Genomic DNA, 17437 nt, shown 5'->3' on the forward strand with positions numbered 1-17437 from the left:
TCCCACAGATTTAAGAAGTCTGAGGACCAAATAAAAGGTCCAGGAGACATAGAAAAGGAACAGCTCCGGGCATGAAGGAGAGTGCAGAGGTGAGCCCAGCCAACAAGCCTTCATGAACAGCGCAGTCTTGGACCATGCCAGAGAAAGGCTGAGCCTGGTGAATATTCAGAATCCACAACCTCCAGAGCTAGTGAACTAGTCCCTTAGACAAGTTAAGATAAAAAGACAAGAAATTATCTATCAGTCCTGTGAGGACAAAAGGAGGCAGTGAGAAGTGGTATCTAGTTATGTTAACACAAAGCCTGGGTTTTGCTTCCCATTTCTGTGCTAGATCCAGGATTTATTTCAACATCTTGGGTGGCAGGTGGAGGAATAAATGAAGCTGGAGATGCTGCTCACTAACCTGGGGAATATGGAAGTCAATCAACAGAAGTATGTATAGTAACATAAAGGTCACTGCGGGCATCCCTGGTGACAATGTCGGAATCAGGTAGAGTATTATATAGAGAGGTCCCATCCGAGCTCCAGCTCCGATAGCCAGCCCCAGAAGCTGAGCCGGGGCACAGCAAGGGAGGAGAGTCCACACTCCACACCCCCCTGGATACTGCTCAAGCATTTCACCTCCTGCGCCTCATTTGACCTTCAGAAGTGCCTTGTTGGTAGCTAAAATAGCTACTCAAACACCTATTTTTCCAGCTAAAGAAATTAATGATGACTAGATCAGAGAAATCTAAAAGATAGACATTGTGCAGGAACGCAACCATCCTCAATAAAATTAGCCTTAATTAACACTGTGGCTGTGGTGTCTCAGTCAGCTCCAAATTCATTCCACATTGGCTATTCCATAGACAACACCACTTCTTATTACCCCTACAACACTATGTACTACAAGATGCTCCAAAACAATGAGCCACTAAAGCAAAAAAAAAAAAAAAAAAAAAAAAATCACCAATTAGACCATGACATGCCGTCCACTTCAAAGGTAATAAAATAAAATATGGCCTGTAAAACCAATTAAATATGGTGTAAAAGAAAAAAATAAGGGCAAGGACATTAAGAAGAGACTTTGCACACACATCATTTTTTTTTTTTTACATTGCAAGTAAACCAATGATTTTGTGCATTATACTCCAAAGAAATAAAAAGCAGAATTAAAGAGAGCCAATTTCATTTATCATTCTCTTGGTGATCCTTCAAAGTGGCCAAAGTTCATACTCTAGTAAAAATTTGACACAAAATATGCTATGTGAGCTCAGTAAAGCTGCAAGGAAGAAGCCTGCGAAACACTCATCACCTGGGGCTGTGGGCAGGGACAGGGGATCTGAGCACCCATGTACCTGTTTGGAGTCCGGAGTTCGCAGGTTCAGACTGGCCGTGGAGATGGTCAGAGAGATGCTCATTCCCGCAAACTGGAGGTTGCTCTTTCCCAAGATGCTGGACAGCATTTTGCTTGGAGGCTGTGAAATTAAAGAGCATTATTTTAGCTGTTTCATTTCCATCTCAAAGGGTGGGGATGTGGATGCCTGCCATACCCCTAAACTCTCACTAACTGTTCCTCCCTCCTTAGGCATAAGAAGACAAAATGTGAAATGAATAAGCTGGGAGTAGGGGGATCCGAAGCTAATAAGCAAATTTTAGAATATGCAACATGCAAATTATAAACCATATAATATGCAAATGCTGAGGTGAAAACTCTTGCAGGCAGGCAGAGGCATCAGTCTTCCAGGCCTTTTCTCTGGCCCTGTTGGGAAGTGTCTCATGGAGAAGTCCTCATATGTAAACCTGGGGAAAGCCCATCACATTTTGTACGCTCAGCAACCTGGTATCATCACACCTACTTCAGAGGAAGAGTCAAACTAACTTAGAGGAAGACTAAAGCAGGCCAGCTCTAGGGGATTACAAGAATCCCAGAGAGATGCAAGGATGTTCGCGGCCGAAGGGAATGGACCACAAATTTTTTGGAGCAAACACTCTCCCTGGTCAAGGTTCTCATGGACTGTCCTCTTAAAAACCCATGGGCCTAGAGCCAGCATAAGGATAGATAGACATGGCCTGGCTGTAACTGGTATACAGTTCCCATTACCCTGTCAGAAATGTCCTTACAGGGGACTGACAGCTGTGTTTTGGGGCCAGGGACCTTCTTCCTAGGTACCTGGGTGGGCAATGCCCTTTGGTACCAACCCATCCCTTCTTTTTGGATTAGAACACTCTCTCTTTTGATATGCTAATTAGTTCCTAACCAGGTGCACACCCTTTTTAATCCCCTGAAGGAGATATTTAAAAACAGAGATGCTGAGGCCCCACCCATGAGATTCTGGGTGGAGCCAAGAAACGGGCATCGTTTCCACCAAGAGAACCATGAGGATGCCCCAGGATGAGCTGGGACCTGGAAGATGAGATTCCCCTTCTTCGTTCTCAGTTGCCGTCCTAGTTCCTATAGTGGAGACTCTGGAGCCTTACTTGGTTCCCCATGGACTGGCCAGAACATGGGCTGGCACATCTGAGTCTTCATTCAGAGTTCTCTTCCGAAACCCAGCTGCCCTGTGGGTGCGTGAAAGTCCCCAAGCTCTGAAGACAGAAACAAGCTTGAGCCTGGGATCAGCAGAGCCACACATGCAGCTGCCCAGATGATCTGGAATCAGGAATGTGCAACCTCAGGGCAGATTCAGAGGTTCTTTGAAGGACGCTTTCTCCACAATTCAGGTTAGGCATAGAAAAGCCTTGATTGTGGATTTAGCTGGGTATTCACTAGACAACTTAACTGAAGAGGTTTTCATGGTTTCTCCTAATCCAGGCTTTTTTTTTTTCCTTCTGACTCAAATATCTTCAGGATGAAAAGTCCTAGTGCAGTGTTTGAACATGCAGCCTGTGGAGCCCAGCCCTCTGAGCTTGCTCTCAGACAACATCTACCTGCATTGTGGCCTTTCCCCTCCGTTCACAGTTGTCATCATCTGTAATACGGGGATATCCAGTGGTATTCTAGTGCTGGCTTGGCCCAGCTGATGGGAGCCAATTATTAAATTTTTCAGAATTTTATAATCTGACTATTAATCACAGCTGTTATTAAAAATGAATGTATGTAAACTTACAATTAAATAAATTACCTTTAAAAAAACAGACAATAGGGCCGGGCATGGTGGCTCACACCTGTAATCCCAACACTTTGGGAAGCCAAGGCGGGTGGATCACGAGGTCAAGAGGTCGAGACCATCCTGGCCAATACAGTGAAACCCCATCTCTACTAAAAATACAAAAATTAGCTGGGCATGGTGGCGCACACCTGTAATCCCAGCTACTCGGGAGGCTGAGCCAGGAGAATCGCTTGAACCCAGGAGGCGGAGATTTCAGTCAGCCAAGATCACGCCACTGCACTCCAGCCCGGGGGATAGAGCGAGACTCTGTCTCAAAAAAACAAAAAAAAAAACAAAAAAAAACAGACAATAAATGCTCAACATGCATCACTTCCTAATTCTTTTGCTGCATTAACTACTAACTGTTTTTCAAGTTATTTATGCCCACAGTACCTGTATGGCAGAAACATTATACAACCATGAGCTACTACATATCTCTTCCCGACTCTGTTTTCACGGGATATAATTTTGAGAAATTGAAATCGGCCACAGCAGAGGTATTGACATCACACAAATCAGAAAATGCTACAAACTTTCTTTTTCATTCCCCTGCCCAACCTGGAGAGCTGGTTGTTAAACATTTACCAGCACACCACTGGGGATATCTAACTCAGTTGTTGTAGTTAAGTAAATTGATGTATTGAAAGTGCTTAAAGGAAAGCCTGACCCTGTTTTAAGTGTCTGTTGTTATCATTATCTTCAGAGTTTAAGCCACAGTGAATGAGTAACCAGGGTGTCTACTTCTGAGACAGGGACAGCTAACTGTCCTCAACCACGTGAGAGAGAAAGCAATCTAAGCCCTTTCTGCTTTTAGAAGTAGCAAGCGCCGGGCCACAGAAAGAGGACAATGAATAATTCTGTGTGACTGAAGATACCGAGTGGCAAAAAAGAGGAAGTAGAGGAGACACAGTTAGACACAGAGCATTGAGGACAGTACCTTTCTCTTCTTGAAGGCTCCCTTCGCACCAGGCACAGCTTCACAGACGCGGCTGATGGCTTCCCTTAGGACAGGAAGAAAAAGCAATTTTATTACGTGTCAGTCGGGATTATGGAACCCAGAGATGCTACACTTGCACATCCAAAGAAAATAACTGCCTGTTTATTTCAGTATAGAAAACAGAGCTGCCAATTTGGGAGTCATCCGATTCTTCTTCTAAAACACAAAACTAAACAAAACGCAAACAGGTCATCGTAAAACCTCTCCTGGCAATATTCTAGTTCTCTTTGTTGTGGTGGCTGGATACTAACAATGTCATCTGTGTCAATGCTACACTTTTTTTTTTTTTTACATTTTGCTAAGATTCTATTTTTGTAAGTCAGCACCCTAAAATATTCTCTTCCCGACACTGTGATGCTATCTATCTCCATGGCTTTGGTCAGGACATCAGGCCCAAACCTAATCAACCACCTTGATTGATTGAGATCCTTCTTAAGTGAGTTAGAATGTAATTAAAAGAAACATGGTCATCCCGAGTTTTATTCCCAGTTTCTGCGGTTAGTGAATCTTACAAAATCAAGAGGGGTTGGAAGGAGAAGAGGAACTGCAGGGTGTATAAAGAACCCGGCAGTGAGGTGATGTGCAGGGCAGTTCCATGGAACCGCACTGGTGAGGCTGCTGGGACGTGCAGGCATGGGTCCCGGTGGAGGAGGCAGAGTGTCCTGGTGCTGAGTGGCCGGGGGCAAGAGTCCAACACGTGGTTCTGCATGGGGCAGGAGGACCCCAGAGGGTGAGGAAGCAAGACAGGATGGTCACAGCTGAGGGCTAGGGTGGCAGGAAGGGAATGCTGGAGAGGAAACACAGCTCAACCTCATGATCCAGCCTAAGTGAGAAATGCCTGGGAGGTGGGCAAAGGTGGTTCCAAGTCAGGGGTCCAGAAAGGAGCTGGTGACCCTTCCCACTCACACATGGAGGAGAAAATACTACTGCATAGAAAAAAATCAACAGGGACTTGGAGACACGGTGAACAAGAGAAGATAATAGGTCCTCAGAAACATTCTATAAACTTTCCGAGCTCAATACTTCTTCAGATTAATTTCTACCATGTGGACGAAAAATAATCACCATAACAACACAGTGCTTTGAAGAGAAATATGTCCATATCAGTTACGCAACAGACTATCAGGACAAGCTTCCCATTTGCCACTCAATTTATTGTAGAGAGCAGGGAAGGAAACATTTTCCTAAAAGCTCAGATGCCAGGAAAACCGTAGGCAATGAATCATCATGACATGGAAAAAGTGAAGCAAGAAACAAATGTTTTTGATGTTTATGCTTACTCTTATTCATTTTATAATAATATTCTAACTGTGTTTCTATCAAAGTGACCAATCACGTATCATCTAAAGTACTTTCTAAAAGCTAACTTCTTATTAAAGAAGGTCAAATTGTCTCTTTACAGAACTATATAAACCCATTATCTATATTTTATGTTTAATTTTTAGAAAACCAGTACAGTGAATCGCTGCATTGTATTTCTTATATTAAGTGACATACTTAGTTGAGCAAGGCAGCTAAACCTCTGATGGTTCCAGCAGGGTAGAAAGATATTACATGCTGAAGTGTCTCCCTTTAATCACTCCATAAATATTCCTGATAAGCACCGTATTTATTTTACCATCCACCAACATGGAGTCTAAAAGAAAAAAATCAGACTCCAAGGACAGTTATCCAAAAAGACACATAGTATCAAATGTCTCATCTAGTCAGGCCCTGGAGCTTGCAACAGGACCCAGCTGCTTCTGTGCTACTTTTGGGGAAGGGAGGTAGAAACTATGCATCACCAGTTAGAAGGAATTACAAAGCTCTGAAAACTGTTAACATTTCTTTCCAATACCTTTTCACACAGAACAGAATGCACAGGTCTCAGGGCACATTCGCAGATAGAAGAAGTTCCAAAAATTTCTCAGAGCTCATATACTCAGGGAAAATCCTAAGGATCCCACTTGTGAGTCTTTAGAATCCCCAAAGGAGTTTTCAAATGAAACTGCTTTTTAGAAAAATGTTCTCTTTTCATCACTGGCATAAATTCCTTCCTAATGCTCATACGATAACACGTGTGTGTGAATTCTCATTTCAACCACGCTGATGGCATCTATTTCTGTTTGAAATAGAAATGCAGCATAACTATTAATAACTGCAATATTTAGATGCCTGGAATGAGTTACTTTAACTCCAAAATCTAATTTTAAATGTAACTATTCTCAATTCCCCTTCTTGCTGTTTAAGTGTAGTACGTTTTGGTAAGCAGTACTGTTTCCATTTGTTCGTTTAGCAATCATTATTTAGCTTTATGTAGTTCCACTTAATCCCCATTTGAGTCTCAGGTACCAATTTTGCCCTGTTTTTAATCATAGGGATTGCTTCTTAACATTCTGTTCAGTATGACCCTGTTTCTGTGAGCCAAATCAAGACCTCAGAACTCGGCTAATTTGAAAATGGGACATTTGGCAACCTCTGTGGTCATCTGAAAGTCTCGGAAGCCAGCCCAACCGCCAGATGTGAACCCTCATTGTCCTCATGATTTCACCATCTTCCCTTCAGAACTGGACTCTTTGAAATCATGTAGTAGCATCTTTCTCCCTCCTCATCCATCTCACTACAGCCCATCCCAAGGCCCCACAAGGAATGGTCTATGTGACTGGCATGGGTCAATGCACATCAGTAGAGAAAGAGATACCCAAGAAGCAGCATTTGAGTGAGTGGGCAGCTATGCAGGAAAAAATTATGTTGGGCTCCTATCTCTTGCCTTATATGCAAATAAATTACAGATGGGTCACAAATTGAAATCATTTGTAATGAAACGATGAAAGTAGTAAAAGAAAACTAGGAAGAATATATATATATATATATATATATGTATGTATACTTTTTTTTTTTTTTTTGAGACTTAGTCTTGCTCTTTCACCCAGGCTGGACTGCAGTGGTGCTATCTCAGCTCACTGCAAGCTCCGCCTCCCGGGTTCACGCCATTCTTCTGCCTCAGCCTCCCAAGTAGCTGGGACTGCAGGCGCCGGCCACCACGCCCAGCTAATTTTTTGTATTTTTAGTAGACATGGGGTTTCACCGTATTAGCCAGGATGGTCTTGATCTCCTGATCTTATGATCCGCCCTCCTCGGCCTCCCAAAGTGCTGGGATTACAAGCATGAGCCACCACGCCTGGCCGGGAAGAATATTTTAAAATTATCTTTTAGTGGAAGGATGTTACAAAATCCAGAAGCCATAAAAGAAAAATATTGACACACTCAATAGCATAAAAAATTTATGGACAAGAAAATATGTAACATTTCACAGTCAACAAAGTAATTGTCTTAATAAAAGTCAGCAAGGAAACTATCAAAAGCCCAATAGAGGGCGGAGCAAAGGATATGGATAAAGAGTTCTCAGGAAAGGCAATACACATGGCTCCAAAAAACACAAACACATACTCAACTTTAATGGTAACCAGAATGCAGATTAAAGCCTATACTGAAATTCTATTTTCATAGCCAAATATTGAAGCTTTACAGTCCTTTGCAGGGAAGAAGGCACCCTACTCAGTGCTCCATAATACCCTCCCACCCCCACACCCTGAGTGAGTTTCTTGCCTCTTCTGAGAACCCTGAGACTCTAAAGTTCCAGCCTCTGAACCTCCCCCTGCTTATCCCCTCTTCTGGCCACTGTGTGACCAGAACCCTGAGTGAATGTGTGCTGGTACAATAAGAATATCCCACCCCCCTAGTCCTTTCTAATTCAATGCATTCAGTTGGCCCTGCTCCTCCCTGGGCTGGATGGAGCCATGAATCTAATCCACTCACCTCCACACAAGAAAAAGTCTTCCATCACTTAACGTGTAACCCTATTTATCTATTTTTAGTAATAAACATGTCCAGGCCCAGCAGAACAGTAAAAACCCTGACCTTCATTTAAACCTCCTCTCCTCCCTCCCTAAGGCCTGCCTAGGGAACCTCCAGGTGGCCACGGAAGAAAGTGCCTCCTAACCTTTCAGCTGCAGCTCCTGACCCCTTGGTGAGGTAGGGATGACTGCAGGGGGTGGATACAGAGAGGTCAGGGGTGGAGAGGTGACACTGACAGCCCCAGTGCTGAGCCCTTTGGCCAGGCTGGTAGTACCTTGCAGGGAAACAGGCGACCCCCTTGGTGCTCCTGGATGTCCTCCCACCCCCATGCCCTGTGTAAGTTACTTGTCTCCTCTGAGATTCTTGAGACTAAATCTCCAGCCTCTAAGCCATGGCGAGCACCTCCCCTCCAGGGCTCCACCCAACCCCTCTCCTCTCAGGGACACTTTCCTTTTTTATTTGAAGACTCCTCCCCAGGAGCAAGGAGGTACCCATGGGTGCAATGGACAGTGTCTGTTCTTCACCCCACACACCCGCTCCCTCCCAGCATCCACACCAGAGGGAAGCTCCAGCTTCTTGCTGGTGACATGGCTCCTGTCATCAGCAGAAAGCTGACTGGGCCACATAGGTACCCCTCCCTGGAACCAGCACCTCTGCCAGGCTATAGCAGGAGGGCAGTTGCTCCTCAAACACAGCCACTCCTGCTGCATGCTTCCCTGTGTGAGTTGGACATCGGTCCATGGGGCCACCTAGGCCCTGGTGACATGTGTCAAAGTCTTGGTCATCTCCTAAGCCCCTCACTGACTCTGAAGCTAGAGGGAACCATCGCCCCTCCTCCATGGGAGGACTCACAGGCCACTAAGGACTTGCTCTTATTCTCTTTATAACTTTAGGGTGAGGGTTGGGCAAAGTGCAGCAAAATAGATTCTCACCCCTCTTCCCAAGCCCTTTGTAGGAGGGCCAGCCCTCCCTTGAACTGTTGGAGTCCTCCTATGCCCCACGGACCCCAGGCAAACTTTACCAGAGTCCCATTTTAACCTGCGGTTGCCTCCCGCCCTCCTGTCTGAAGGGACCTCATAGTCTCTGGACTCTGAATGCTTCAGCAGCAGGCGGCTCACCCACCTTCCCCACTGGCCCGCTCATCTCCGAGTACCAGAATTTTATAGATAGATACCACACCCAATTGTTAGCTCCGCTTCAGTGTCTTAAAATCATCACAAACTTGAAGTTTTCAAACACAGCCTTAATTTTTCCCACCAATAATATTTCTCTCCAGCCTTCCCAGGACAGAAAACAGCACCGTGGTCCACCCAGCAGCTCTCACCCCACACAAGGTAGCAGTCCTGGGTCTCTCCCTTACCAGCCACACACCAAACCCATCACCACCCTGCCTCCATGGGGAAGGTGAGCCAGGCTGCACTCCCCAGAAGCCTTCAGAGTAGTGGAGGAGACAGGATAACACAGTCACACGTGTACTATGAAGGACTGGAGTGTGCAATTCTACCTTTCAGAGGAGCAAGAGGTCAGTTACCTGGTCAGCAAAGAAGCCTCAATGCCAAAGAAGCAGGTGCTGAAAGAGGCAGTGGAGGAAGATCCTATAAAAATACAAACTGGAGCCCAGACCAGGAAGGAGCACAGCAGGACAGTGGACGTGCAGGAGCGCCAGCTGGCTGGGGCCAGGTGTACAGAATCCCGGGATAAGGCAGAACCATGGAGGTTTCTGATTCAGGTCTTAGAGGCATTTCAGGATATGCCAAGGAGCAGGAAGCAACCAACGCCTTTTTACTAGACCCTGATATGATAGAAATAGTGTCAGTGTGTAGACAGGCAGAAAGGGCTGAGAAGCTGCAGGCAGGGAGATGAGCTGGGAAGTTACTGATGTTGTGACGGCCAGACTTGGATGGTGAGAGTGAAAACGAAAAGAAGACCATTTGGAGAAGAAGCCCACAGACCTGCTTCATTATGGAGACTGTTGCTGAGGGCAGCCCCACAGATGACTCACTCTTTCATCTTGGGGACGGCCTCTCTCTTTTTCTCATGGGTCATTTTCTCCATCCCGAAGCTGTTGACTCCAGGTGGGCCATGTCTGAGAGCTGGATTTGCAGTAGGGACAGAGCTGGGAGGCTGCCAGCTAGGCCGAGGGCACGTAGGAGCCCAGGCACCAGGAGTGAGAGTTCAAGGGCAGAGGGACACAGAACCAATGGCTTCTTCCCAGTTTCATCCACAGCCAAGCAGATTAGTTTCCCAGCTCCAGCACACTAAGCATCCAGCCATAACCAAACCATTCGGAGAAACTGAGAGTCAGAAATCATAGGCATCAAAAATACCATAAACCTGATTTTTTAAAAAGTCATTTGACCAAGATGTGTTGAAATCACTTTAATCTTGTATGTTGCAGACATAACAAAAGAGCCATGGATTTCAGAATCTGCACACCCCTGGAGAAATTGACTTCCCTTACACCTTAGCAGTTCACCTGTGCCATTATAATCCCAGCATTCTCCTGAGACCTCATTCTGTGCTTCAGCCTTTGGTTTACTCCAGAAAGGTGTTTAAATATACACACAGGGGTAAATAAATACTGGTTGGTAATTATTAAACAGATGTCAAAAAAAGTATCCTATATATTCACATAAAAGCCCAAATAATGAAACTAGAAAAGAGGTTCCTAAACCATGCTGAAAGAGATCTCAGAAAGTGAAAGATAAGCTCTTGGGATTACTAAGAATGTATTGACCAAAAAAGTAAAGCCCAACAGAGACAAAATTGAGGCTAATTTTCCTTTCATGGTTTAAGTAACTAATTAATAAAGTTCACTTGAGGTCACAGGTCATGTCACAGGCATCTTCACTGGACAGATCAGAGACTTGCTTTATTCTTATAAACACTTTCATTGAATTATTTTTTCTCCTTTAGAATTCTAACAGTTGGGTTAGAATAAGCCTTCTGCTCTCAAATTGACTGCTTCCTGATGCCGATATGCCAATCAAGGGGAGAAATCCACACTCCTCAGTTTTCCCACAATTTCGTAAATGAGCCAAGTTCTCAGGCAATGAGGAAGAAGCCTCCAATCTGTGCTGCACCCTGAGGGAGATGGTGCCATGTCTCTCAGATGAGCCATCAAGAAGCTGGACCACCAAGGCGCTGGACCCATGAGGGGCTGGACTGGGTTGGATGGGGCTGCCCAATACAGTGTGGAATCTAGAGACCCACGGAACCCTGCACACACCTGTCTTCACTGCCAGTTTTTAGGAATTACTTATCTTTTGGGAAAGATGCATTTTGTGAGATCAAATACCACAGGCTTTAAAGATCTCAGTTCCACTGATTCCTTAGTCGTAAAGCATGAATACAGGTGAAGTGAGCAAACTTGGCCCCAAAGCTTCTGCCCTTTGGAAACACACACACAAAAGAAAAGGGGACCACTGTGGTGCCTGACACCAGGCTGGGACTTGTTCTAAGTGCTCTGAAGGCATTATGTGTGCATCCCATGAAGCTCAGGGCAAGTCTCCATCACAGCGTCTCCCTTTTGCACCAGTCTTGACTGAACCACGTAAACCTGGGCTGAATCCCTGGTCTCTTCCCTCAGCCTTCTGTTCACTTTTCCTTGTAAAATGGCAGCTAAATCATTTCAGGTGCCTTCCTCAGCCAAGGCAGTCAGACGGCTCTAAGATGAAGAGGCCAGTCTGTCTCCCGTGCTCTCGCAGTTCCCCATGCCAGATCCCTGAGGCAGTGAAGAAATGTGCCAATAAGAGCTTCCCAATAAAGTCTTTTTCCGTAGGATTCTGCAGGTAGATAGACACAGGTCTCAGAGGCCACTAAAAATAGGCTGAGACAATAGAATTCCGAATGTAGCCCTGATGGGCAGTCCTGAGCCACACAGACATTTTCTCCATAATTGTTCCACTCCGGGACCTAATGGTTTCCATCCAGTTTCTGTTTAATTCAGCTTCATACAAGGCTTTCCTGGGGCACAAACCTGCAGAAGGTAACACTGAACCCACCTCCCAAAGACACACATTGGCTCTCCAAAATAAGGACACAGGGCTCATCAACCCTCAAGGCATTAGAGTTCTAGAAATGCTTTCCAAACGCCTCCTCATCAACCTGGCAAGGAGTGCCCAGTGAGCAGCCACACGAGTTCCTTCCTCAATAAAATCCTCAGGATCCCACATTTCCAGATTTACAGTACAGTGGCTTCCACCCAGGCCACCAGCCATGGATCTGTATGAGTGATTAACAACCAAACGTGCAGTGGGGGCTTTCTGTGAGGGTTAAATGACACATCTATGAATCTATACAACTTAGCATTAATAGAGCCTGGCATGGGGCACATGCAAGTTAACCATTAATGTTACCATCATCAATATCTCCATGGAAGAAACAAAACTGTTTTCCTCTGCTGTCACACCACCGCTTGAACAAGCCATCAATTCTGCAGCAGATGCCAGCTGGGTGTCCTCCAATTCAGATCCCCAGGCTGAGGGCTCAGTGTCCCCAAGACTGTGCCCCACTTCCGATGCCAATCTCAGTCCCACAGGGGTAAAATAAAGTCCCAGTTTATTTTACCTCTCCTTCTGACTAACTGGCTACAAATCAGGGTTCCCACCACCCCCAGCTTGGGTTCAATTAATTTGCGAGAACGGCTCACAGAACTCAGGGAAACACATTTACTGGTTTATTCTAAAGGATATTGCAAAGGATGCAGATGAAGTAATGCATAGGATGAAGTATGGGGGAAGGAGCGTGGAACTTCCATGCCCTCCCAGGATGTGACGCCCTAGAGAGGACCCTCTGCATGTTTAGCTGTCTAGCAGCTCACTGAACCCAGTCTTGCTGGGTTTTTATAGAGGCTTTGATCATATAGGCAAGATTCATTAAATCATTAACCATTGGTGATCACTTAATCTTCAGCCCTTCTCCCCTCTCCAGAGATTAGGGACGGGGCTGGAAGTCCCAACCTCTAACCCTGCTTTGATTTTTCCTGTGACAAGCCCCCAGCCACCAGTCACCTCATTAGCATACAAAAGACACATTACTTTGAAGATTCCAAGGATTTTAGAATCTTTTAGTTGTATGCCAGCAAACAGGACAAAGACCAAATGCATATTTCACAGTACACAGTATCCATATCAAAGCTGCTTGTGCATGTTATCTTTCAGTCGTTGGGGGCACATGCACTGATCCTAAGATATATCTTATATGCAAATAAATATATACACATATATACAATAAATATATACACATACATACGTGGCCCATGGGGTGATTGCACGTCCTCCTCACTACCGTGGGTTCCACCATGCATGCGCACACCCATCCGCCCACATGACACATATATGTGCATCAAGGGACTCCAGATGTCCTTGGCTATGAGGCACAAACCCTCAGGAAGTCCACAGGAGAACTGGAATTAAAGCTAATTTTCCTATTTTCCAATCAAGGAAACTGATGGCAACAAAGTCAAACACATAATAGTAAACATCGTCAATCAGAAAATACCAGAAGTTCTTTCATCCAAGTAGCCTAACTTATGTTTCCCTGATCCCTAGGGTGAAGATCACCTTGCCATAGCATAATTTCTCCAACACTGGCCCCTACATTAGGAGAAACTAATGTGGAAATACTCTGTGAGACTAACCACAGCAAATCAGAACGAATCAGAACTTTCCCCTCCCCTCACCAAGCAGTGCTTAGAGGAAAACAGAAGTGTGATGGCCTCCCCCTGCTCTTGGGGTGCCTGCAGGGGGACGAGGTCCACCACAGAGCCCAGGCAATCAGTGTGGGAGGGAGAGCCAGGGGATCCCACATGCCTGCTTCTTGTGGTGGTCCACTTTGCTCATTCAAAAATTTCCTCCCTTGTTGACATTTTGTTTTAGGCATTTATAAGGCAATGACAGATTACTATTATTATATACTAATTCTAGATGATATAAACCAAAAATAAAATTCTAAGCCCACCAACCAACTGAACTGACCTCTCCTCTTAGCCAAGAGGATTCCAAAGTAAACGTGAAAAACTAGTTCAGGTCCTGATGGGAAGAGGGGGTCAGACATGCTTCATTATACACTCCTCCCTTAGAATTCAGGCAAGGCAGACCAGCATTAAGATGAGAACAGAGACCTTAAGATTGATAGATCAGACTCTTTGTAGCAATAAGATACCAACATGACAGATAGTAGGCCCTGAAGGAAATGAAAGTATTTTACCTCAAATTACATTTCTAGGACATATTTTGAAATGGCCCTGCAAAGCTGTCTCTTGTGGGGAAAATCTACACTCTGTAGAAAATCCCCTTCTCTTTCCAGGTCTTTTCCTGACCCAGGAGAGATTTAATTATGATTCTGGCACCTTTTAGGGTTGGTTAAGAGACCTTTACTATCCATTTTCTCTGAAGCCTGCTACCTGGAAGCTTCATCTACATACTAAGAACCTTGGTTTCCACAACCCCTTATCTTAACCCCGACACTCCTTTCATTTGATTCCAGGTCTTTAGATAATAACTCTTTCAACCAATTGCCAATCAGGAAAATCTTTCAAGCCACCTATGGTCTAGAAGCTTCAAGTTGTCCTGCCTTTCTGGACTGAACCAATGTACACCTTACTTGTATTGATTGATGTTTGCCTGTAACTTCTATTCCCCTAAAATGTATAAAATCAAGCTAAAACCCAATGACCTTGAACACATATTCTCAGGACCTCTTGAAACTGTGTCTCCAGCCTTGGTCACTCATATTTGGCTCAGGAAAAAAACCTCTTCAAATGTTTTACAGAGTTTGACTGTTTTTGTCAAAAAGATGAAAAACACAGAATACAAGAAATCAACATAAAGCCTTTAGAAATAAAAACTCCATGGACATAATGGGTCTGTTGTTTTTAAAAACATCTTTAATATCAGGGAAAGAGGTACAATGCAATCAGTAGAAAGGTCACCAGAAAAGAGGAAGGAGGAACAACGAGCTGTGGGGAAATGCTGATGGGACAACCAGAGGGAGAGGGGCCTGCACGGAGAGCAGGCAGAGGAGGGTACAGGGGAGAGGTATACGGTCATTACCACGACAAAGGGATGGAAACAGAGAGCACAGAATTTCCAGCAGGCAGGATGCATCCACAGCACCCAGGGGAGAACCCAGCAGAGGCCGTGAGAAAAGCCTGGGCACCGCGGAAGCAGCAGGAACCATTCTGGGTGAGACCACACCTGCAAGGCAAGAGAGAAGATGCTGGTTTATTCTTCACAAACTGTGAACGGTGTTCCTCATCTGCAAAGCTTCCTGCTGGAGGGGCACTTCCTGCAAGTATTTATTTAGACGGTGCTATCGACTCGGTGGCACTGTTCTGTGGCAGAATCTGCCTTCGAGAGGTATTTCCCCTTTCTGATCACCGCACAGAGCCTGTCCATTCCAGGGCAGTTCTACTGGATGATGCACCAGAAGCTGGCTGTCCCATCTTAGTCCTTATCTCTGACCTCTTTCTATCAATATTTGTGTATTTCTATGTGCATGTGAAAAGAAGCCCCACTGATAGAATTGGAGGAAGAGAGAAAGAAAGAGGAAACCTTAGAAAGGACCTGAGTGAGACAGAATAAAATTTCTAGGAAGTATATCTTGGAGGTGCCATGTGCAACGCTGATCTTGGAGTTAGGTGCCATGTGCAACGCTGATCTTGGAGCCTGGGGGGTGGAGCAGGAGGGAACTGGGACCTGGGGCAGAGTGTCCAGCTTTTTGAGAACCAGCTCCAGACCTTAAAGCTCACACACCACCAGAAGCCAGCACTGCCCTTAGGCAAGGGGGCAGCTGCTGGGTTTTATGCCCCCCGACACACTGAACCACCATACCTAAGACAAAGGAGTGATCCTTCCCATTTGGGAAAAGTAAACCAAAATTAAAGGAAATAAACTCAGAGGAGGGTCTTAACTCTTCCCAGAATCACACAATATTGGTGGAGTCAAAATCTGAATTGAGCTCTTCCAGGCTTCAGAGCCACTTTTTCCCAGGTCCCAAGTCTTCTTGGGGGCATGAGGATGGGGAGGGGTCAGAGCCCACAGGAGCCCCTGACTGCTTTGACTTCAGCAGTCCACACAGCGACCCAGGAGGTCACACCACAGCCAGCACCTTCTTGGAGTGAGGAGTAGGAAGCCCCCAAGGGCCACGGCTCAGGCAAGGCAGAGTGCGTCACCCAGAGGCCTGCCGGGCAGGGCCGCCAGCTCTAGAGGAAAAACACTAAACTAAACTTACCTGCCCTGCCTTTAAAAACCACCCATGCACATCCTCAGGCCCACGAGCAAACACACGGAGCCCTGAGCGCCAGCATGGATAAATCACGGTCAGCGAGGCCCTGCAGACAGCATCTCATTTGATTTCTATGACAGTAGGAGATGTGGATGTTGCCCTTACTCCAAGGTGGAGATAAAATATATCTCCACCCACATATTATATATAAAATTTTATCTCCACCCATTTCTCTCTCCTCCAGAGGCAAAGAGAGTCCAGGACATTGGCCAAGACCACAAAGCTCTTGAACTGGGCTCTCTGTGACATGAGAACATGAGACTAGATGCATGCAGTGGAGAGAAGTGACAAAGATTATCCAGCCAAAGATCATGCCACCTGATGTGCCAACGGCTTTGGAGAAAGGCAAGACCATGGCCTCCCAGTGTAAGGTTATGGTTGGGAAGTAATTCTGCACCTGAATGCAAGCTGACTGCCACCCCACTAGTTTTGGCCGGCTGCTCTGTTAAGTAGAATGCTGAGGTCAGTGTGATCAATAACTGCCACTTTGCTGTCACTCCAGGGGATTGGTGGGTATGGGAGGCTTCCCCCAGGAGGTGAGGCTGCACAGGGCCTTGGAGGCTGAGGAGGTTTGAGAGAGGAGAGTGTGAGCTGAGCACACAGAAATGATGAAGAGAGAGGTCAGTTGAGCCCATGCGGATTGGGGGTGCACCAGGGTGCAGCCACAGAGAAAGGGGAGTGAGTGGCCTGCAGAAGGACCCACAACAGGGAACCCAAGAAAACAGGCAAGAAATCAACATGGGTGGTATCATGAATGCCAGGTGAGAGGACTTTCCTAAAGATTTAAGTAGTGAAAACTACAAGGAAATGAATATCAGGGTTTGCTGATGCAGAGCGAAATGAGGAAGAATCTTTTCCCTCTAATAGAAATGGAAATGACGGGGTGGGGTGGGGATCCCCCAGGCACATCTAGGACAAAACTGTGCAAGACATGGCATAACAAGTCAGATATAGCCTGCGTGAAGAAAAGCATAGCATGGTATTGGGGGACATAAAGCAAGATCTGAACACATGAAAACTCATGCTATGTTCCCAGAGATAAGGATGAAACATTATTATGAAGTAAATTCTCCCTAAATTAATTTATCAATTTAATTGAATTATAATTGTCATCCTAATTGATATCTTTTTGCACTGAACAATATGTTAGAGTGCATAAGAAATTTCAAAAATTGTGAAGAAA

At 45.4% G+C, this 17437-nt stretch overlaps 1 protein-coding gene across 1 annotated transcript in view, besides 1 other annotated feature; it reads right to left on the reverse strand.

Moving 5' to 3' along the window:
- Positions 1 to 17437, reverse strand: part of SHC3 (SHC adaptor protein 3) — a 173048-nt gene that overhangs the window by 68001 nt on the left and 87610 nt on the right. The window contains exons 3-4 of the mRNA NM_016848.6: positions 4069 to 4132; positions 1338 to 1457 (exon numbers count right to left, since the gene is read on the reverse strand). Of these exons, the coding sequence (NP_058544.3) occupies positions 1338 to 1457; positions 4069 to 4132 (184 nt within the window). The remainder of the gene's footprint in view (positions 1 to 1337; positions 1458 to 4068; positions 4133 to 17437) is intronic.
- Positions 3517 to 4127: a silencer, noted in NCBI's record as "S5 fragment used in the reporter construct". NCBI's record gives its function as "represses activity of a beta-globin enhancer-driven SV40 promoter in transfected K562 erythroleukemia cells {active_cell/tissue: K562}" and the evidence as "EXISTENCE:reporter gene assay evidence [ECO:0000049][PMID:30886051]".

The sequence above is a fragment of the Homo sapiens genome, chromosome 9 (assembly GCF_000001405.40).
Source record: "Homo sapiens chromosome 9, GRCh38.p14 Primary Assembly".
Lineage (NCBI taxonomy): Eukaryota > Metazoa > Chordata > Mammalia > Primates > Hominidae > Homo > Homo sapiens.